A 24865-nucleotide genomic window follows, 5' to 3' on the forward strand; every position below is an offset into this window, starting at 1 on the left:
GTATTTTTTTAGGGAGTTAAATGTCAGTTCTAAGGAGGTCAAAGGATATATAAGAAATAACAAGTTTTAAAGTCAGAAGTGCATTTAAATTTGGGCTTAGAATTTATCTTGCATTTATCCTATTTCAGGAAATATTACCACATATGAAGTGTGGATATTTATGTGTACTTAGCAGTGGGCTTGAGAATATCACACACAATATTATACGTAGGCTACCATAGAATCTGCAATTATTATAATACCCGAATGCCTCCTACAGCCCTTCTACCTCTTGAAGACCTTTAAGAATTTGCTTTTTCCACTGAAAATTAGAAAGAACAACATAGCTGAAGGCAGTCCTTGTTCTATTGGGTCATTTGTTGGGATTGTGCTTATCCTGCAACTTTGGGGAAGGGAGGCATTTCAACATGAAATGAGGCTGCCTGTAAGTCAGAAAAAGAGTGAAGGAAAATTGAATTTAGCTCTTGCCAGCATTGCTTGAGGTATTTGGGTGATATAAATTTTTTTTTAAAGGCCACAATGCTTTTAGAATTTTCTTTGCTTGTGATTAGTCATTGTTGGCCTCTTTATGCTTCTCCCAGAATCATTACAATGCCATGCTTCCCCACTCTTTTCTAAGGACTCTAAAGCCTGGATTTATTTTTTCTGACCCAAGAGGCACAACCAAATGATGTTTAAGCATCCGCAACCCAGCCAATGTGTGAGGCCATTTCCTCCAAAATACATTCTCCTTTCTTACCTGCCCTCTCTGATTCCTTGTCCAGCCTGGCCTCTTATATGGACCCTGATCTTTTATCCTCAATATCCTTTCTTATCCCACGCCCACTGTCTACTTTAGTTTCAATTTCAGCCACTGGTTAGTTTCTTGGTAAACAAAGTGAATAAACGCCCTTGAAGTCCTGCCATACTGACTCCTTTGGAAACCCAACTCACCATTAAATTGCAGTGTCTTAAATTGTACTCTTTGCATACTGATTTATCCTCTGGTACTCAGCTAATTCACGGCTCTCTGAGTCTTGTGTACCTCATTTTCACATGCTCAGGTCAGGGTAGAGATGGCTTTTGTGAGGCCTTGAGTGGGAGGTGTGAGAGTTTGTCCTCTAAACATGCATTTTGACTCTTTTCGTGTTCGTTTTTGCCATCGAGGAGATCAACAGGGGCCCGCTGCTCTTACTCAACATGTCTTTGGGGTATCACGTCTACAATGCCTGCAACACTGATCAGAGGACTTTGGAGGGCCCTCTGTTTTGGCTGTCAGGAGGGGCCGAGAACCTTCCCAATTATACATGTGAGAGGCAGAGCAAATCCATAGCAGCGATTGAAGGAACTATATCAGCATTTGTTTCTCAGTTGGAGATGTTGATGGAAATCTACAAACTACCACAGGTGAGACAGGATGGGGTGGGTCAGAGATGACATTGAATGTCCTTTGCTGTTATTACAAGGCATGTCAACAAAAGGTGGCTCAGAACAGTCTTTGAAGCCCCCAAAGGTGACAGAAAGTCCTTGCACTGCCAGTGTTTATTTAGGGTAAGAAGGAGACAGAATGAGATGGGCAGCAGTGAGGCATCCCTGGCTGGCACAGCCAGGCCAGCTCTGGGAACTCTATATCTGAACACTTACTTTCCAGATTAATTTTTCCCAGAGGGAAGATGATACATTTAAAAAAATGAACAAGTAAATCTTCCCCTTTCCAAAAGAAAATGTAGTATCTTCAACTTCAAAATGGTGAAATAATAATTGCTTTATTCTTTACTATCATGCTGTTATTATCTAACTGCTATATCTCCGAAGAATTTTTTTTTTTTTTTGAGACAGAGTTTCCCTCTTGTTGCCCAGGCTGGAGTGCGATGGCGCGATCTCAGCTCACAGCAACCTCCGCCTCCCGGGTTCAAGTGATTCTCCTTCCCTAGCCTCCCGAGTATCTGCGATTACAGGCATGCGCCACCACGCCTGGCTAATTTTTGTATTTTTAGTAGAGACGGGGTTTCTTCATGTTGGTCAGGCTGGTCTCGAACTCCCAACCTCGGGTGGTCCGCCCACCTCAGCCTCCCGAAGTGCTGGGATCACAGGCGTGAGCCACTGCACCCGGCTTTGCGAAGAATTTTTGACCATCCTCTGACTCTCTCCAGAATCGTTTCCTTGACTAATAGTCAAAATTGGAATTTTTATAGCCCTGTAAACCCACAGATTAGCTTATAGGGAGATTTGGTAAACTGAGATTTTGGGGAGGGGAAGGGATGCTGGCAGAGAAGAAACTTTGTTTACAATTTTATTACCCTAGATAATATTAACCAGTTTTGTATGTTTCTTAGAAATTTTATTGTAGCTTACCTGTTTGCCAATGGCTATATGAAACCTTGCTCTTCAAATGTTCTACAAATCAGGACTTTTGTCTTCAAAATGGTTTTCTCATGAATGAGTTGAGTACAGTTTTAACTCTTGTTAAGAAAAACTCTGAGCATTTTGCCTTTACACACGTTCATCAATTTCTCTAGTAATTTACTTGCTAGCTTTGAATTTCTTCTAGGAGTAGAAAGTGAAGTGCCTGATGTATTGTGTTTGTGCCCTTCTCCCTCAAATCACTTCTGAATACAAATGGATATTGTTTTTCCTTTTCCTCTAAGATTAGTTATGTATGTCCATTTGATCCTTTGCCTAGTGATGAAGGACAGTTTCCATCTCTGTATCAGATGGTCCCAAGGAATCATCTTTGCCTCTTGGCATGGTGAAGCTGTTGCAGCATTTTAGCTAGACCTGGTAGGGCTGCTTGTCTCAGATGACATAAAAGGTGGGCATTTTTGGCCAGGCACGGTGGCTCACGCCTGTAATCCCAGCTCTTTGGAGGGCCAAGGCGGGTGGATCACCTGAAGTCGGGAGTTCGAGACCAGCCTGACCAACATGGAGAAACCCCGTCTCTACTAAAAATAGAAAAATTAGCTGGGTATGGTGGTGCATGCCTGTAATCCCAGCTACTCAGGAGGCTGAGGTGGGAGAATCGCTTTAACCTGGGAGGCAGAGGTTGCTGTGAGCCGAGATTGCACCACTGCACTCCAGCCTGGGCGACACAGCTAGACTCCGTCTCAAAAAAAAAAAAAAAAAAAAGGTGGGCATTTTTTCTAGGAACTGAGAGAAGTGGCCAGGGAAAGCATCTATTCAGGCTTTACAAAGAAACTGTCTTGGAGGGTGTTCTGCCATCAGCAGGCAGGATAACATTGGCCAAGACTGAAGATCCATCAACAAATGTGACTGCTGTCTGTGGTGACACAGACCCCCTAATCCTCCTGACGTTCTGGGATGGAACACTTTGAAAACGTGGAAAGCGTGTGTTACCACCTCCCAGTGGGACTTTATCACACATGGGGGAAGTTTCATACTTAATCCATTCCATGGGACTCTCACTTTTTCAAAGCAGAACAGTGAGATGCCTGGCTTCCAGCATTTTGTTCAGACAGTTAGCCCTTCCGTACACCCAGAACACATTTTCCATAATAAACTGTGGCTTTTTTCCTTGGATTGCTTCCTTTCTGATTCTGGCTGTGAAACCCTGGGAGGATGCCCACGAAATGCTTTCTTGGGTCCTGTGCCTTTGCGTTGCTTTGACTGGATTGCATCTGATTTCATTAAGACCATCTATGATGCTGCGTGTGCAGCCAATGCCCTATGCTAAGTGCTGCTTTTAGAAATACAGTGGGATATGAGGAAAATGTAGATGCAGTGCTGTTTCATCCCTGGCAGGTAATGATTTCCGCTAGGGCATTGTCGGCCCTGGAGCCCATCGATTCTTGAAACATATAGTCATAAATGAGATTTTCTCAAAACCTGCATAATAACGCAGGCAAAACACATTGAAATTTTACATTCTGAATATAAATTCTGAAAATGAATATGTCTACTTGCTTTTACAATGAGAAACCATATATAGTCCGGAGAGTTTTCAGTTTTGATATCTGTGTGTGTGTGTGTGTGTGTGTGTGTATGTGTGTGTGTAAATGATCATCACATAGATATCTCTGGCTAGAAGAAACTTTGTCATATTTGTTCTAAGATTAAATGTTTGTCCCATATTTCCAATACTCATTTTCAATCTGATTTAAATTTTTTGATCTATGATATTAACTGTCTAGAAATGACTGGGGAAAAGAAATTAGTTTTGAGCCCTTACTTTGTGTTCAGCATAAATGGTGATTATATTTTTTCTTTTAATTCAAAATAACATTAAGAGATATGAATTGCTATTTCTATTTTATGTATGAGAAAAACTCATATTCAGAGACATTCGGTAAAATTCTTACACACTGCCTGTAAATGGATCATCAAAAATTTGAAAGCGGCCAGGTGCAGTGGCTCACTCCTGTAATCCCAACACTTTGGGAGGCTGAGGGGGGCTGATCACCTGAGGTCAGGAGTTTGAGACCAGCCTGACCAATATGGTGAAACCCTGTCTCTACTAAAAATACAAAAATTAGCTGGGTGCGGTGGCGGGTGCCTATAGTCCCAGCTACATGGGAGGCTGAGACAGGAGAATCGCTTGAACCCAGGAGGCAGAGGTTGCAGTAAGCCAAGATCGCGCCACTACACTCCAGCCTGGGCAACAGAATGAGACTCCATCTCAAAAAAAAAAAAAAAAGAAATCGAAACCACAATTGTCTTTATTTTCATCAAAGTATAAAGTTGAATTTGAGCTTTCAGTCTTCAAGGATCAGGGAGGAACAATGCTTCAGTTAACGTTTCATAGCATAATGCATTTGTTTTTATTACTCCCTGATGCATCCCTTTTAGCTTTACTCTCTTAAGGACCACGGAATTTATGACCAGTGCTGATGATCAGGTACCCAGATTAGAATAGGAACTCTGTTGCATAGTATGATATTCTGAATTATTGTAATTTGCTTGATGGTCTCCAACATCAAGGGAAGCTAGGAGAATGTGTTTTCCACGTGGTCAAGATTTTACTATACACGAGGAAAGGATCAAATGGGCCATTGTTGTTTTCAGAGGTTAGTCACAATTTCAAAGATAGCTTTTTACTGAATATGGATACCAGAATAGAGTTGATTCATGCAGGTAATTTCACCTGATTTGAACCCTCTACGTAGTTGATATGTACACACGCCTATACATATGTATGTTGATACGTATCCCACCTATACACGCTTCTACCTTTTAATATTTCTTATTCATTGCTTACCGAAGAACAAACATTAAATTGCATAATAAAATGACAACGATGGTAATAATGGTAGTGAATAATCATTAACTATGTGCCAAGCATTGTTTTAGTGGTTTTATGTATGTCTGTTATATTACTCAGAACACTGCTATGAGTCAGATCCCTTTCATATTTGTTTTAGATAAGAAAAGGGGTGCAAAGGAACGTTAAGTAACTTATTCACCATTATACTCTTAGTGATGAGTCACAATTTTAACCAAAGGAGTTCCTGTCAAAATCCATGGTTTTAACCACAATACTGTATTGGTCCTCAGATTTTTATATCTTATTAAATAATATATTTCTTTCTAAATTTATTTTATTATTTTATCACTACACATGTAACAAAAATGCATTAAATAATATATTTCTAAAATTAAATGTTTTGTTTTTATTTCTACATAAAAATATTTTTGATATTCTGAATTTCTGTTATCTTCCTCATTGTTATAATTAAGATTGTCTTGGTTTTTATAGTCAATGATACTAACTCTAAACAGTAAGTTTTGTGTCTTTATTTCAAATCCTTATGTTATTTTATAGGAGCTCAATTTTCATCTTTGTGCATATCATACCCCTTTCAAATGGAATAATTCTTATATTTCACCTTGATGCTTTCTGTATATTTCTGGTAATAACTTTACTTGTACTGTTAGGTTACTCAGACATTCTTTTTTTTTTTTGAGACGGAACGGAGTCTCGCTCTGTCGCCCAGGCTGGAGTCCAGTGATGCCATCTCAGCTCACTGCAAGCTCTGCCTCCCAGGTTCATGCCATTCTCCTGCCTCACCCTCCCGAGTAGCTGGGGTTACAGGTGCCCACCACCATGCCCTGCTAATTTTTTTTGTATTTTTAGTAGAGACGGGGTTTCACCGTGTTAGCCAGGATGGTCTCGATCTCCTGACCTCGTGATCCGCCCACCTCAGCCTCCCAAAGTGCTGGGATTACAGGCGTGAGCCACCACTCCCGGCCACAGGTTACTCAGACATTCTTTTATGAATTACAAGTTAGTTTGGTGTCTACTAAAATGCGTATGATTTTCTGTAATGATTTGTTAGTATAGATTATTAAATTTATATATATGTATATATGTATACTTATTAACTTATCCTTGCTTTCCTAGGATAAACTGAAATTGATCATAATTTTTTGATAGACATTATTTTTTAGAGTAGTTTCACGTTTTAAAAAATTTGAAGAGAAAGTACAAAGAGTATATATACCTCCCTTCCTCCCCGTTTCTCTATAATTTGTATTTTCTATAACACTTTGCGTTAGGGTGATGCATGTGTTACAATTGATGAACCAACATTGATACACTATTATTAACTGAAATCCATACTTTAGGGTTCAGTCTGTGTTATAGAATTTTATGGGTGTTGACAAATTTATAATGTCATGTATCCACTATTGCAGTATCAGACAAAATATTATGGCTGCCTTCAAAGTCCCTTATGCTCCACCTATCCATCCCTCCTTCCTTCTCCACCAGGATGCTTTCTTTAATATTTTGTGGTACACAGGGTATTTATATCCATATTCCTAACTGGAAATGTTCTCTAATTTTACTTTACCATTCTACGATTTGTTTTGTTATCAATGGTATGCTAGCTTCTCAAATCGAGGAGTCTTTTTCTAATTTATTAAAAGATGAAAATTTACTATTTCTTGAACACTGTTATTTGGGTATAAGATCACATGGCTCTGATGTGTATCTTGTGGCTCTATTTTTAACAACTAACTCTATTTTAAATTATTATTGTGATATGGGTTGGATTTGTGTCCCTGCCCAAATCTCAGGTGGAATTGGAGGAGGGGTCTGGTGGGAGGTAATTGGATCATGGGGGTGGATTTCCCCCTTGCTGTTCTGTGAGAGTGGGTGAGTTCTCATGAGATCTCATGGTTTAAACGTGTGTGGCACTTCCCTGTTCTCTCTCTCTCTCCTGCCACCACGTGAAGAAGATCCTTGCTTCCCCTTCACCTTCTGCCATGATTGTAGGTTTCCTGAGGCCTCCCTGTCATGCTTCCTGTTAAGCCTGTGGAAGTGTGAGTTAATTAAATCTCTTTTTTTTTTTTTGTAAGTTATCCACTCTCAAGTAGTTTTTTTTTTTTCTTTTGAGACGGAGTCTTGCTCTGTCACCCAGGCTGGAGTGCAGTGGCGTGATCTCGGCTCACTGCAAACTCCGCCTCCCGGGTTCACGCCATTCTCCTGCCTCAGCCTCCCGAGTAGCTGGGACTACAGGTGCCCGACACCACGCCCGGCCAATTTTTTGTATTTTTAGTAGAGACGAGGTTTCACCGTGTTAGCCATGATGGTCTCGATCAGGATCCTGACCTTGTGATCTGCCCGCCTCGGCCTCCCAAAGTGCTGGGATTACAGGCGTGAGCCACCACGCCCGGCCTCAACTAGTTCTTTATAGCGGTGTGAAAATGGACTAATACATATTGTTTATTTTAACTTTGTATTTCTCCTTCAGCTGATGTATAAGTTCTAAGTTATAGGTTTTGTGTTTAAATTTTTTATTTCTTCTTGATCCATTATTTATACGTATATTTAAAATGTAAAAAAATTAGGATTTTGATTTTGTTGATTGATTACTAATTTAATTGTATTGTAGACAAGAGTCTTGCTCTTTAGCCAGTGAATGCTCAATTTTAATGAACTGTCCATGTGTACTTGTGAAAAATGAGTAGTCACTGACTTGGAGGTTCAGAGTTCTGTGCATGTTTATTATATCAGTCTTATTCATTATGTTCCTTAAATTACTTGTATTCTTCTTTACATTATGTCTAATTAAACTCTTTATTCATGAGGGAGATACATTGATATCTACCATCATGGATAGATTTGTCAAATTTGTCAATTTCTCCTTGTTATTCCACTGCACAGTTTGTGTTTGAATTGGACTATATGCATATAAAGGCAGATGCTCAATCCTTATATCCTGTTGAGTTCAATTCATGAAATAAAAAGTAACCAGTATAGTTTAGCCATTTTTATTCTACTTTATATGTAACTTGATATTTATCACATATATTATTTCTTTGTATTTTTATATGATCTGTCTAAAATGTACAAAAAATTTCCATGTTACTAATTTTTCAGATATTACTGTTAAGTGGTAGCATGCTGCCATGACATAGCTGAATTTCCACACTGCCCTAACTCTGCTTATCTTTAAAAAACATGACACTTGCTCTAGGAAGTTCCCTTTGTAACCAGACCCACTGACACTTGTTAGAACCAGGATAGCTAAAGCCTCAGGCTTCATTATAATCTCATTTCCATGCTAAATGGCACTCCTGGCCAGGCATGGTTGTACATCCCTGTAATCCGAGCCCTTTGGGAGGCCAATGTAGGAGGATTGCTTGAGCACAAGAATTTGAGACCAGCCTGGTCAACAGAATAAGACCTGGTCTCCACAAAAAAAAAAAAAAAAAAAAAAAAATTTTAAATTACCCAAGTGTGGTGTCACACACCTATCGTCTCAGCTACTCAGAAGGCTAAAGGGGGTGGATCACTTAGGCCCGGGAGTTCAAGGCTGCAGCGAGCCATGATTGCACCACTGCACTAAAGCCTGGGCAACAGAGCAAGGCCCCATCTCTTAAAATAGAAAAGAAATCCTAGCACTTTGGAAGGCCGAGGCGGGCAGATTGCCTGAGTTCAGGAGTTCGAGACCAGCCTGGGTAACACAGTGAAACCACATCTCTACTAAAAATACAAAAAATATAGCCAGGCGTGGCAGCGTGCGCCTGTAGTCCCAGCTATTTGGGAGGCTGAGGCAGGAGAATTGCTTGAACCCGGGAAGCGGAGGTTGCAGTGAGCCCAGGTCGTGCCACTGCACTCCAACCTTGGTGACAGAGTGAGACTCCATCGCCAAGAAAAAAAGGAAAGAAAAGAAAAAAAGACACTTCCACTGGTGTCATGACACTTGACAATCATCATGACGCTGACCAGAAGTCATAAAAGTTCAAAAAGGAAGGTGGCACTAGGAGTTCTGTGAAGTTGCTGCTCATTCCTGGAAAATGCATGAATATTCTTCCCCTTGCTTTTAATGTCCAATCCCTTCATTAGAGAAACCCTGTATTTTATTTTAACCTCCTCACCTCTCATTAGTCGAGAAGTGATTTGTGAGCCATGCTTCTCCTTCTCAAGTCCACGGCCATCAAGTAAAGCTTGCACTGCTTGGTGCTCACCTTCAGTTTTGTGTATTGCCTTTGCAGCACCGAACAAGTAAAGACCCCATTTTTGGAGGAAGTGGCTTTGTTTGATAGCATTGCTATGGCTATTAACATGCATATTAGCTCATCCCATAATTCTAATGTTTATATTTATATTTTTTATTTTTTTAAGAATCTTGCTGATTGATTTTGTTCATCTCCCAATTCCTGCTCACAATTTGACACCCTATTTGTTTCCTTAAAGAGTTTAAGCCTATACATATTTTGATCCTATATCTGAAAATTATAAGGTCTAAAATGCCTTCTGGTTGCATTTTGTTGTTTGTTGTTTATGTTGACTCTTCATTGTGTGGTTTACATGTTCATTTGGTCTTAGTGTCTGTATAACTTCATGGTGAGTAATAAATATTTCGAGGGTCAGTCCCTCTTACAGGATTGCCTGTGTTTCATCCAAGCACCTGAGTTGTTAATAATCAGAAGACATTTAATTTATGCACTTAAAGTTTTCCTTGACTATACAAATACATTTAAAATTAAATCCCAAACCAGTATGAAGACAAGTTTTTGAATAAAAATTTCTCAGAAGAGACATTTTTCTCTTTTGCCACCCAGACTCCAAACTGAGGCTGAGAACTTATCTCCTTTCACTGGCAAGAAGATTTTTTTGTTTTCTTTTTCCTAGATCATTTCCCTATGAAAGTAGGCCTTCATGCTGGGCACGGTGGCTCATGCCTGTAATCCCAGCACTTTGGGAGGCGGAGGCAGGTGGATCATGAGGTCAGGAGATCAAGACCATCATGGCTAACACGGTGAAACCCCGTCTCTACTAAAAAAATACAAAAAATTAGCCGGGCATGGTGGTGTGCACCTGTAGTCCCAGCTACTCAGGAGGCTGAGGCAGGAGAATGGTGTGAACCCAGGAGGCGGAGCTTGCAGTGAGCCAAGATTGTGCCACTGCACTCCAGCCTGGGTGACAGAGCGCAGAAAAAAGAAAGAAAAGAAAAAGAAAGTGGGCCTTCAATAGTTGTAGCTCTATGGATTGTCTCAAGCCTAAGGTCTTGTCTCCTGTCCCCTCGGTTTTGGTCATTAAAACACAAGTGACCGTGATCATCTTAATTAGCAAACATTGTGAGGATAGCTTTTGCTTGCTGATCAGCTTTCCCGTTCTGGGTTTCTGTTCCTTTTTTATTTTTTTCCTTGAGGCTTCTCATAGATTATTGGAGCTAGGCTAGGTTTGTAAGCTTTTGTTGTATTTATCTACCAATTCTAATTGTTTCGTATTCTGCATATCTGATCTAATTATCACCAGTAGGAGTAGCCTAGGCTAGTTTTTAAAATAAAATGTCTTGAGTGCCCGGATATGTGTTATCAATGTTATTGTTATTATACTAGAGATAGCATCATTATACATCCTTTGGACAATTAATCAATATACGGCTTTCAATCACCTTGCTTATCCATTTTGTGTGGACATAATTTAGATTATTTGGATATTTGCCTTTAATGCAAAAATGTGACTCTATTTATTCATTTATTCATTTACTTATTGAGACGGAGTCTCGCTCTGTCGCCCAGGCTGGAGTGCAGTGGCCCCATCTCAGCTCACTGCAAGCTCCGCCTCCCGGATTCATGCCATTCTCCTGCCTCAGCCTCCTGGGTAGCTGGGACTACAGGCGCCTGCCACCACGCCCGGCTAATTTTTTGTATTTTTAGTAGAGACGAGGTTTCACCATGTTAGCCAGGATGGTCTCGATCTCCTGACCTTCATGATCCACCTGCCTCGGCCTCCCAAAGTGCTGGGATTACAGGTGTGAGCCACTGCCCCCAGCGACTTTATTTTACCTTTATCAAAAACATTGCTTTTGTTTCTACTTAATTTTTATTTTCTAGTATGCATGTTTCAGATAGTTCTAAAAGGTATTACACATCATAATATTTAAATTAATACAATATTATTAATTTTGGAATTTTATAATTCATCTATTCTAAATATATGAGGAACACCGACCCCCAGTTTCTTTTCTTCAGGCTCTCTACTTTGTGTGCAGCCACAGCTATGGGTCAGAATTTAGAAAATCCCCACAGGAAGGAAAAGCTGTATGTTGTTTGAACTCAGCACCTAGAGGGTAAGATTTCCAATAAGATAGGTCAACAAACAATTTGTTTCTAGCCGTTCTTCAGCGTCCCCATTAATACAAAAATTGATTAGGATTTGGGTTAGACCTACAAAGTGCCATTCTTTCCCTCATTTATCAATCATGTGATCATTCATGTGATACATTTAATGTTCTAATCAGTAGAACATTGCCAGCTTTCTCATGAACTAATGGAGCAAGAACTCACCCCTTACTGGAGGGAAGGCACCAAGCCATCCAGGGGGGACCCACCCTTATGACCCAGACACCTCCCATTAGCCCCTGCCTTAAACATTGGGGATCATATTTCAATATGAGATTTGAAGGAGACAAATATCAAAACTATTAGTAGGTAAATGAGTCTTGTTACATTCTGAGGAAAGAATATTCAAGACAAAAGAACTAGAAGTTCAAAGGCCTTGGGGCAGGAGTTTGTAAACTTGAAAGTAAATCAAGGCAGCTAATGTGGATGGCTGGAAAATACAGCAAAAAGAAATTGTGGTAGGAGGTGAGGTCTGAGATTTAGAAACATGATAAAAATTTTGATTTAAAGTGTAATTAAGAGCCATTGGAAAGCTTTGAGCATGGCAGTTAAATGATTTGATTGTTAAAGAGTAACTGCCTGCTTTTTGCAAAATAGACTGAAGTTGACTCAGGGAATTGGAAGTAGGCAGGCCACTGGGGTTTATTACAATAATCTAGGTAGAGATTACATTGTCTTAGATCAGGACGGCCAAGTGGAAGTGACAAGAAGTGATTAGAATTAGGAAGTATTTTGATGGGAGAGTCAAGAGGATTCACTGATGTATTAGTTGTGTTTTTTTGTGAAGTAAAAAATCATGAGTAATGCCCAGATTCTGGACCAGTGCAACTTAATGTCTCATGGTCAATCTAATGGGAGTTTGAGGGTGTGTTTTTTTTAATTTTGAAAAAAGCAGTATGCCTTGGTCATTGCAGTATTTCTAGAATTCAACTAAGGGTCTGGCTCGCCAGTTAAAGCTTTCTTGTGTAAACGAATAAATTTCTTGTATAAATGAATACATTTAAGGCTTAGCCTGCCAAATAGATATTTGGAATGTCTTAAAGATTGTAATGGTCTCATCATCAGATAAAAAATAGGAGTAGCATGCACATCTATGTAAAAGATAAAAAAATCTTTCTTCATACAAATGACAAGGGGGATAAATACTGCTAAACTGGAATGAGTTAATTTGTAGCATCTTATAATTTCATGAAATATGAATAGGTGGACAATGTGCTTTAAGATGACTAATGTTAACATTGTTTAGTCCTGTGAAAAAAGGAAGCATTTCAGAACTTGAGACAATAAGCTTTTGACTTTTTAAAATCAGACTCCAATGAATGTGCAAAATGTCCAGACAACCAGTATTCAGTGAGAGAGATCACTGCCTCACAGAGTTGTGACCTTCCTGGATTTTGAAGATGCACTGGGGACAGCACTGGCCAGCATAGCTCTCTGTTTCTCTGTCCTCACTGCCATTGGTATGGTTTCGCTGTGTCCCCACCCTAATCTCATCTTGAATTATAGCTCCCATAATTCCCACGTGTTGTGAGAGGGAGCTGGTGGGAGATAATTGAATCATGGGCGCAGTTGCTCCCATACTGTTCTAAGTCTCACAAGATCTGATAATTTTATTAAAAGGTTTCCCCTTTCGCTTGGCTCTCGTGCTCCCTTGCAGGCCGCCATGGTAAGACGTACCTTTCACCTTCAGCCGTGATTGTGAGGCCTCCCCAGCCACCTGGAACTGTGTGTCCATTAAGGCTCTCTTCCTTTATAAATTACCCAGTCTCTGATATATCTTTATCAGCAGTGTGAAAATGGACTAATACAGCCATGGTTCTTATGATCTTTGTGAAGCACATACACACACTCATAGTCAAGACTCTCAGCGACATCTCTCTGTCTGTTTTCTTCTGCTCCTTGCTCTTCACTGGCTGTACAAACACAGTCACTTGTATCCTCTGACAGACAACATTTGGAATCATTTTTACTGTGGTTGTTTCAACTGCGTTAGCTAAAACTATCACTGTGCTTATAGCCTGTAAGGCTACAGCATCAGAGAGAAAGCCAAAGTGGTTTTGGGGACTGGGAGTATTTAGCACAGTTATTTTCATCTGTTTCCTTATCCAAGTAACTCTCTGGAATTTGGCATGGGATCAAAGAGTGCCATCAGGACTCTCAATGATGAGGTATTCTTTGCCTTCCACTCTGTTCTGGGATTCTTGACCTTTTTGGCACTGGGGAGCTTCATCTTGGCTTTCCTGGCCAGCAGCCTGCCTGACACCTTCAATGAAGCCAAGTTCTTGATGTTCAGCATGCTGATGTTATGTACTGTTTGAATTACCTTCCAAACTGTGTAACATAGCACCAAAGGGAAGGTCATGGTTGCCTTGGAAATATTCTCCACCTTGACTTCCAGTGCTGAGTGCTAGGCGGTATCTTTGCTCCCAGAGGCCGTATTATTCTAATAAAACCAGATAAGAATACTCTTGGAGAGTTAAGGGAAAAAAGCAAGTTCTTACATGTATAAATATTTAATTTCTGGCCTTAGAAAAATAAAAAAGAGGAATGTAAAAAATAACTGCTATTTGCATGCAGATGAGACACAGTCACATTTAAGTAATATTTCAGACTGGTTTATAATCTCTTAACTCTGCCATTACATTCAAATAGTGTGAAATTCACAATACCTTCAATCACCAAGTTTGTGAATATAAATATTAACTTTGATGTGTGTTTTCTGCAGGTTAAATCTATTATTAAATGCTGTAAGTTGTCCTTCATTATATGCACAGTAACCCTTTTTATCTCTATCTTTAGCTACCATTTTGTCTTAGACACACATCTTAAGCAGAAAGTATTGAGGCAGTCCTCCACTCAACATCTCATTTAATTTTATGACTTTTTTCTAATTGGCGGGACAGATGGCATAAAGATTTATAATTTGTATTTGAACTTTATTATATTTTTCTGTTTTCTTCTGACAAATATATGTAAAATTATAAAAATTTACCTGCAATTTGTATATCTAAATTGTGGGAGGTAGGAGTCTAATATTACTTTTATCAAACAAACCAGACATTTGCCCCTAAATAATAATAGACTACACTTGTCTTATTGATTTCAAATGCAACTGTATTGTACTCTACATTTTTGTGTTGTCAAAAATAACTCCATGTCAGTTTAGTTATCAACAAGCAATTTTAATATATGTGGGAGAACAATCAATAGATTGTTATCAGAGATAAAAATTGGATTTATAAAACAAAAGGGCAGAGGCATTTAAAAAAAAAAAGTCTGAAAAATTAGTTTAGTTTTCTTTATCCTGAGTATACTGACTGACAAGAGGGACACTAAGGGATCAGTCTCTGGGATAGTCAACAGAGAAAACTTTCAGTTATTTCTAGATTATCTGAAAAGGCTCGACAGTTCTGCTGGGACAAACTGTGTCCAGGCATTACGTGCCACTCTCCTTCTATTGCCACTCTGCACACAATTAAATCAGACTGCATCATATCCCTTTAAAATATATCTTATATCTCTGTTTTCTTTGGTTAAAATCCAGCTCCCAGATGAACAGATTTTTCCTATAGAGGTTTTATTTTTTTCTTCAACACTGTATTATGAGTTGAATGTCAGGTCAGGGTTATGGCTGTGAAGCAAGATATAAGAATCAAGATAGGCTGGGCACGGTGGCTCACGCCTGTAATCCCAGCACTTTGGGAGGCAGAGGCAGGCGGATCACGAGGTCGGGAGATCCAGACCATCCTGGCTAACACTGTGAAACCCCGTCTCTACTAAAAATACAAAAAAATTAGCTGGGCGCGGTGGCAGGCGCCTATAGTCCCAGCTACTAGGGAGGCTGAGGCAGGAGAATGGCGTGAACCCGGGAGGCGGAGCTTGCAGTGAGCCAAGATGGCGTCACTGCACTCCAGCCTGGGCGACAGAGCAAGACTCCATCTCAAAAAAAAAAAAAAAAAGGAATCAAGATAATGGGAAGGTTAAAAAAGATAAAAAGTTTGGGAATAATCCCAAGTATTTTAAGAAATATTTGAAGCTCGCTTAGCATCTGTTTTTCTTGGGTTTAGCTTAGCCAGAAAAATAACTCCTAAGATCGAATAAATCAATTTTACTTACCTAATGTTTATTCAGGTTCCAGATATTTCAGGTATGGTAAAGATTTTCTCTTGGAAGGACATTAAATTGCCAATTATCTATTACTTAGGACTATCCTAGTCAACACGTTGCTGCTATTCTGTTGAGTTTCTAAAACCTGAGGTGCTTTGTTTACTGCGGAGTCCATAGTCAAGGATAAATTATGGATCATGCATGTTAGTTGGGAAACAACTTGGATAAGGTAGAAACACCTACACACACACAAACATACTCACACATACACCCACCTACACACATACACACACACAGTCACACACACACACTAACACTGTGCCCGAAATTGGTGGGTTCTTGGTCTCACTGACTTCAAGAATGAAGCCGCGGACCCTCGCGGTGAGTGTTACAGCTTTTAAGGTGGCGCATCTGGAAGTCTGTCCCTTCTGACGTTCACATGTGTTCGGAGTTTCTTCCTTCTGGTGGGTTCGTGGTCTCGCTGGCTCAGGAGTGAAGCTGCAGACCTTCGTGGTGAGTGTTACAGCTCTTAAGGTGGCACGTCTGGAGTTGTTCGTTCCTCCCGGTGGGCTGGTGGTCTCACTGGGCTCAGGAGTGAAGCTGCAAATCTTCACGGTGAGTGTTACAGCTTATAAAAGCAGCGTGCACCCAAAGAATGAGCAGTAGCAAGATTTATTGCAAAGGGCAAAAGAACACAGGTTCCACAGTCTGGAAGGGGACCCGAGCGGGTTGCCAATGCTGGCTCGGGCAGCCTGCTTTTATTCTCTTATCTGGCCCCACCCACATGCTGCTGATTGGTAGAGCCGAGTGGCCTGTTTTAACAGGGCGCTGATTGGTGCGTTTACAATCCCTGAGCTAGATACAAAGGTTCTCCACCTCCCCATCAGATTAGTTAGATACAGAGTTTCCACACACAGGTTCTCCAAGGCCCCACCAGAGCAGCTAGATACACAGTGTCGATTGGTGCATTCACAAACCTTGAGCTAAACACAGGGTGCTGATTGGTGTATTTACAATCCCTGAGCTAGACATAAAGACTCTCCACCTCCCCACCAGACTCAGGAGCCCAGCTGGCTTCACCTAGTGGATCCCGCACAGGGGCTGCAGGTGGAGCTGCCTGCCAGTCCCGCGCCGTGCGCTCGCACTCCTCAGCCCTAGGGTGGTCGATGGGACCGGGCGCCGTGGAGCAGGGGGTGGTGCTCGTCGGGGAGGCTCGGGCTGCACAGGAGCCCATGGAGTGGGTGGGAGGCTCAGGCATGGCGGGTTGCAGGTCCCCAGCCCTGCCCCGTGGGAAGGCAGCTAAGGCCTGGCGAGAAATCGAGCGCAGCACTGGTGGGCCGGCACTGCTGGGGGACCCAGTACACCCTCTGCAGCCGCTGGCCCGGGTGCTAAGTCCCTCATTGCCCGGGGCCAGCAGGGCTGCCCGGCTGCTCCCAGTGCGGGGCCCGCCAAGCCCATGCCCACCCGGAACTCCAGCTGGCCCGCAAGCGCCACATGCAGCCCGGGTTCCCGCTTGCGCCTTTCCCTCCACACCTCCCTGCAAGCTGAAGGAGTGGGCTCCGGCCTTGGCCAGCCCAGAAAGGGGCTCCCACAGTGTAGTGGGGGCTGAAGGGCTCCTCAAATGCCGCCAAAGTGGGAGCCCAGGCAGGGGAGGTGCCGAGAGCAAGCGAGGGCTCTGAGGACTGCCAGCACGCTGTCACCTCTCAACACCTACACACAAACACTCACACCTACACACACAAGCACACATATACCCACACACAAAATGAAGCGTATATGTATACATGTACATATATATGATAAATTCTGATGTCTTGAGTCCCTCTTTATAAACTACCACATTGATTCAATAAAATATGAGCAACTGAATGGTTTGTTTCAGTAAATGGAAAGGCCAGAATACGATGTCCAAAACAATGTTTATGTTTGAATATGATTATAGAAAATCATGATTTCTTCATAAGAATAATAATTCCAAGAGTATATCTTGTGGAGACACAAGTATGTTTTTCATAGTCACAATTATTTATCAAATGTCACCTGAATTTAATTAATTTTTGTATTCAGAATAAAATCCCAGAGTTTAGAAAAAGCATGCAATGATTTCTGTGTAGCTTTATGAGAAAATAATTGGTCATAATTTATCATTAATTCCATATGCCATTATCTTTCTCATGAGGCTCTAGAAAATATCAGCAACTGCAGCTAATTTTGAGGACCTGCATTTTAGCCATAACGTCTAGATGCTTTAGCATTAGTAATATTCTGGAAAGTTGCAATGAGTTCACAGGGTTTATCAGAATGAAATTAGTCAAGAAAATGAGAAAAATGACTGGGATTTCAATTTTCATAGCCTAATACCTTGAACTAAGAAAAAATGAAAAAAGTGAGACAAAGAGGGGTATCCAAGTGATAAAATAGAATCAAAATAAGGGCATGTTTTTCTGATCATGAAGTTTTACCTGAAATATCTTGAGTGAAAGCTTCATATGACTGAATATACTTTTAATGTCATCTTCCTGATATGTAGACTCTTGAAGGAATATGTCTACTGGAAGTTGTCTGCTTCTGGAGGCTTTTTAATAGGCCTCTAGGTCAGATTTAACATGGGTCTGGATGTCCAGATTATAGGACCCTAAACACTTTTATCCTTAGAACCATGTCTTCTCTAGTGTTTTTCATAGAGCTTAAACAGATTCTTTGCGATTAAAAAAATAATCAAAATGGCTTTTTATAGCATAGTTCTAATGCTAAGTGTGTTTCTTCCAATAAACTCATTATCTTGGAGGGATACATCCAATCATATCCCTCTTGGAAATACATTTTGTATTAATTGTGCACATGACTGCACATATATTAATTTTGTAAATACTGACAGGATACAAATTCAATGATATGGAATCTGTCAGAGCAGGATTCAAGCCAAGAGTCACGTACCTTCTTGTAACATTTACAAAATGAGAGTTTATGAGAAATTTGGGACAAGATCACATTAACATTTTATCTAGGAGTAGAACTTTAGCTCAAACGAAAGCTTTAATTAAAATGAAAAGTTTCTTCTTTGGTAAATGACTTTTAAAACTTTACACTTTGGTAACTGATCCTTGGTTATGCTAAGTACAAATAAATTATTTCCAAGAAATTTTCTTTGAGATTTTCTTGAAATATGAATAAGTATTTTGGATTAATAAAATCAGTTTCAGCAACTGGTTTTACCAGTTGATGGAAAAACCAATAAGGGCTTCTACTTTTATACAGTAGTCATCTAGAAAGTTCTCTGTGGTTTTTAATATATCAACTAAATTATAGCCTATAATTTTAATAACCAAGATTCATTTTGAATATTGTGTTGCCCTCAAAGTCATTAATCATTTTCAGTGTTTGATTGAAGTACCCAACGAAATTAGAGAACTCCTTTGTTATCATAGCTTGTTAGATTCATAAAAAGTCTCAGAGGAATATCTACTCTACTTGTGGTAGCTAAGCCTTAAAGCTATAGCAAGGTTGTATGCTTACACTAGACCTATCAGTTTAACCATTTGAGAAGAACTAAGCATTGGTAAAAAGGCAGATTCTATAACAGATATCCAAAAATTATAGCCTATACTGTAAAATATATACCTGGATCACATTAATATTACATCAAGGTTCTGTAGAGGAACATTAGTCCCAAAAGTGCATGATTAAAGTTTCAGTAGTTGGTAGACACAAATAACAGTCACCTATATTAACAAGGAAATGTAGTGTCTGAGATTTTACCCCATTTATAAGCTAATAAGTTAGTCTGTTACTGTTTCATGAATAGGGGGAAGACACAACAGTCCTGGATCAGAGACAAACATTTCATTACTCACGGCATTGCTAATGTGAGTGTCATGTTGTATCAGTCAACTTTGTCCCCCAAATCTCACAAGGATAAAGCAGAGGAACCCAAGTCAATGGTGAACATGCTATAATAAATTTGTATTGCAGCAAAGAAACACTGAGCTTGGGGGATGTACTGCTTTTACATTAAGCAGTAGACAAGTCTGCTTAACGTTCCAAAGGGAAACATTTTTTCACCTCTCAAGGTTGCTGCTAGAAATACAACCTAGAGAAATGGTATGGAAAAAGAGCATTCAGAGCCTTGCATTTAAATTTTTTTCCCTTTTGACACAGGTATTTATTCTTATTTGTCTACATCTACATATCTCAAATTTTCTACTGTGATAAATAAACATAACATGAAATGTTACCATTTTAATGACTTTAAGTGTACAATTCAGTGGCAAGCACACTCACATTGTTGTGCCATCATCACCACTATCCATCTCCAGAATTTTTTTCATCTTGCAGAACTGAAACTCTGTACCCATTAACACTAATTATCAATTCCTTACTCCCCCCAGCCCCAGGCAATGACCATTTTACTTTCTGTTTCTATGAATTTGATTACTCTGGGTACCTCATATCAGTAGAATCATAAAATATATCTCCATTTGTGTCTACCTTATTTTACTTAGTGTAAGGTCTTTCAAATTTATCTATATTGTAGCATGTGGCAGAATTTCCTTTCTTTTTAAGGATGAATTATATTTTACTCTATGTCTATGCCACATTTTATCTCTTTATCTGCCAATGGATATTTGGGTTGTTTCTACTTTTGGCTACTGTGAATAATGCTAATATGGATGTTGATGTACAAATATCTGTTTGAGTCCTTGCTTGAAATTAATTTTGGAGGAATTGCTGGGTCATATGGTAATTCTGTGTTTAATTCCTTGGGAAATCACCATACTCTGGTCCACAGCAACTCTATCATTTTGCATTCCCACCAGTAACCATAAAGGCCCTAGTTTCTCTACCTCTTCATCAGCATTCGTTATTTTCTGTTCATTTGATATTAATTATCCTAATGGGTGTGAAGTAAGGAGACTTGCATTCTTGACATACCCAGCAAGAACCTTCAGAACTACGCAAGGCTCATGGTAGACTGCTTCCCTCAATCAGTAGCTAGATTTAGTTAGTAGCAGAGTTTAAAGGTTTTCTGGGGAAGTAGCCAACAAAAGATTATATAAGCAATGATGTTGTTTTCCTAGAAGTGCCACGTGTTGTTCTATACTAATGACACTCTTGTCAAAGACCCTATGCAGAGTGAGCTGAGGGAAGTCTGCTAAGACTTTATCAGCTGGGCTACCACTATAACTAAACAAAGTGAATAAACCGTAGTCACAAGGTCAAGAGAAATGTTAATGTAGGTAATGAGCTTGTGATCAATTTTTAAACCATAAAGCAAAATGTTATCTCTATGCACAAATAATGGAGAAGGTTTACTTTCATTAGAAATGCCAGCCAATGTGGACCCTACTGTCACTACCCTGGTGAAGTGTTTTGGCTGGCACTCCCCATCAGAGTCTTGTTGCCAGTGGACTGGGAACACCTTGGCTCCTCCAAGCACCTCCTGCAACAGGTGCTTAACCTGGAGGGGCCAGAGAACAAAGCTGGAAGCCTAGTACCACCTTCCAGGGTAAGAGTACACAGCCCAGGTATGGCCCCCTGAAAATTTCCAGAGATGAAACCAGTTCACTTAACTCACTTTATACCATAGTCAACCCCCAAGGGAATCAAAGAATATACAAGTGAAAATCCCCATCCAAAGGACGGCAACTTCAAACATTAAAGGAACATCAGCCCACACAGAAGAGAAAGAACCAGTACAGGAACTCTGACAGCTCAAAAAGCAGAATGTCTTCTTACCTCCAAATGACCCAGCAGTGGTTCTTAATCAGGCTGAAATGACAGTCATGGAATTCAGCATTGGGACAGGAACAAAGATTACCAAGTTTCAGGAGTAAGTTGAAACACAATCAAAGGAATCTAAGGAATTTATTTAAATGATGCAAGAAGTGAACGACAAAATCACCGTTCTGAGAATGAAACCCATCTGACAGAGCTGAAAAACTCACTACAAGAATTTCATAATACAATCAGAATTGTTAACAGCAGAATAGACCAAGCTGAGGAAAGAATCTCAGAACTTGAAGACCAGATCTTTGAATCAACTCAATCAGACAAAAATGAATAAAAAAGCATAAACACAACTTCAGAGAAATATGGGATTATGTAAAGAGACCAATTCTATGGCTCATTGGCCTGAAAGAGAGGAAGAGAGAGCAAGCAAGTTGGAAAACATATTTGATGATAACTGTCCATGAAAATTTCCCCAACTTTGCTAAAGAGCTCGACATTCAAATTCAGGAAATGCAAAGAATCCCTTGAGATACTACACAAGATGTCCATTCCCAAGACACATATTTATTAGATTCTCCAAGGTCAACCTGAAAGAAAAAATAATAAAGACAACTAGAGAGAAGGGGTAGGTCACTTAAAAAGGAACCCCATCAGGCTAACAGCAGACCTTTCAGCAGGAACTATACAAGCCAGAAGAGATAGGGGGCCTATGTTCAGCATTCTTAAAGAAAAGAAATTCTAATCAAGAATTTCATATCCAGCCAAAGTAAGCTTTATAATCAAAGGAGGAATAAGATCCTTTTCAGACAAACAAATGCTAAGGGAATTCACCACCATCAGACTCACCTTACAAGAGATCCTTAAGGGTGTGCTAAACATGGGAACAGAAGACTGTTACCAGCAACCACAAACACACACTGAAGTACATAGACCACCGACATAAAGCAACTATGTAATCCAGTCTGCATAACAACCAACTACCAACATGACAGGATCAAATCTGCACATATCAATATTAACCTTAAATGTAAAAGGGCTAAAGGCCATACTTAAAAGGCACAGAGTGGCAATTGAATAAAGCAAGACCCAATGACATGCAGTTTTCAAGAGACCCATCTCACATGCAATGACACCCATAGGCTCAAAGTAAAAGAATAAAGAAAAATCTATCAAGCAAATATAAAACAAAAACAAACAAGGTTGCTATTCTAATTTCAGATAAAACAGAGTTTATACCAATAACAACCAAAAAGAAGACAAAGAAAGGCATCACATAATGATAAAGAGTTCAATTCAACAAGAAGACTTAACAATCCTAAATATAAATGCACCCAATACTGAGCACTCAGATTGATAAAACAAATTCTTAGAGACCTACGAAAAAACTTAGATAACCACACAATAATAGTGGGAGACTTCAACACCCCATTGACAGTATTAAACAGATCATCAAGGCAGAAAACAAAGATATTCATGACCTGAACTCAACACTTGACCAAATGGACCTAACAGACATTTCCAGAATGCTCCACTCAACAGCAGACTATATATATTTTTTCATCTGCACATGGCCCTTACTAAAAAACTGCCCGCATGATTAACCATAAAACAATTCTCAACAAATTAAAAAAAAACCAAAATCATACCAACCACACTCTTGGACCACAGTGCAATAAAAGTAAAAATCAATATGAAGACAATATCTTAAAACCATAAAATTACATGAAAATTAAACAATCTGCTCCTGAATGACTTTTGGGTAAACAATGAAACGAAGACAGAAGTCAAGAAACTCCTTGAAACTAACGAAAACAAAGATACAATATTCCAGAATCTCTGTGAGTCAGCTAAAGTAATTTTTTTTTTTTTGAGACGGAGTCTCGCTGGAGTGCAGTGGCACCATCTCTGCTCACTGCAAGCTCCACCTCCTGGGTTCATGCCATTCTCCTGCCTCAGCCTCCCGAATCGCTGGGACCACAGGCACCCGCCACCACACCCGGCTAATTTTTTTGTATTTTTGTATTCACCATGTTAGCCAGGATGGTCTCAATCTCCTGACCTTGTGATCCGCCTGCCTCGGCCTCCCAAAGTGCTGGGATTACAGGTTTGAGCCACCGCGCCCGGCCCCAGCTAAAGTAATGTTAAGAGGAAAGTTTATAGTGCTGAATGCTCACATTAAAAAGTTAGTAAGATCTCAGATTAAAACCTAACATCACACCTAGTGGAACTAGAAAAATAAGAGCAAACCAATACCAAAGCTAGTAGAAGAAAAGAAATGAGTAAAATCAGGTCTGAAATGAATGAAATCCAGATGTGAATAAAATCATACAAAGATCAGTGCAACCAACAGCTGGTTACTTGAAATAATAAATAAGATTGATAGTCCCATAGCTAGAATAATAAAGAAAAAAGGGAAAAGATTCAAATAAACACAGTCAGAAATGACAAAGAGGGCATTACCACTGACTCCACAGAAATACAAACAACTCTCAGAGACAATTGCAAACACCTGTATGCACATAAACTAGAAAACCTAAAAGAAATGGATAAATTCCTGAAATCATGCAGCCTCCCAAGATTGAGCCAGGATGAAATTGAACCCTGAAAGACCAATAACAAGGTCCAAAATTGAATCAGTAATAAAAAGTCTGCCAACCAGAAAAATCCCTGGATCGGACAAATTCACAGCCAAATTCAGGCAGATGTACAAAGAAGACTGGTACCATTCCTGCTGAAATTATTCCCAAAAATTGAGAAGGAAGAACTTCTCTCTAACTCATTTATTAGGCCAGCATCATTCTGACACTGAAACCTGGCAGAGACACAACAAAAAAAGAAAACTTCAGGCCAATATCCATGTTGAACTACAGATGCAAAAATCCTCAACAAAATTCTAGCAAATCAAGTCCAGCAGCACATCAAAAAGCTAATCTACCACAATCAAGCAGCCTTTATTTCTTGGGTACAACGCTGGTTCAACATATGCAAATCAATAAATGTGATTCATCACATAAACAGAACTGAAAACAGAAACCGTATGATCATCTCAACAGACACAGAAAAGGCTTTTGATAAAATTCAACATTCCGTCATGTTAAAAACCCTCAACAAACTAGATATTGAAGGAACATACCTCAAAATTTAAGAGCTATCTATGACAAACCTACAGCCAACATCATACTGAACAAGCAAAAGGTGGAGGCATTTCCCTTGAGAACTGAAAGAAAACAAGGTGGCCCACTCACATCACACCTATTCTGCACAGTCCTGGAAGTCGTAGCCAAAGCAATTAAGCAAGAGAAAGAAATAAAAGGCATTCAAACAAGAAGACAGGAAGTCAAACTATCTCTCTTTGCAGATGATATGATTTTACACCTAGAAAACCCCATAGTCTCTGCCCAATAGCTCATTGATCTGATATACAACTTCAGCAAAATTTCAGGATACAAAATCATTC

The 24865-nt window shown here is 39.8% G+C and overlaps 1 pseudogene, besides 1 other annotated feature; it reads left to right on the forward strand.

Annotated features, from left to right (window-relative positions):
• VN2R3P (vomeronasal 2 receptor 3, pseudogene) lies at positions 1120-14068 on the forward strand (annotated as a pseudogene).
• Positions 8372-8572: a silencer, noted in NCBI's record as "peak7240 fragment used in MPRA reporter construct". NCBI's record gives its function as "represses an SCP1 promoter by STARR-seq MPRAs in K562 erythroleukemia cells {active_cell/tissue: K562}" and the evidence as "EXISTENCE:reporter gene assay evidence [ECO:0000049][PMID:32103011]".

This window comes from Homo sapiens, chromosome 9 (genome assembly GCF_000001405.40).
Source record: "Homo sapiens chromosome 9, GRCh38.p14 Primary Assembly".
Taxonomy (NCBI): Eukaryota; Metazoa; Chordata; class Mammalia; order Primates; family Hominidae; genus Homo; species Homo sapiens.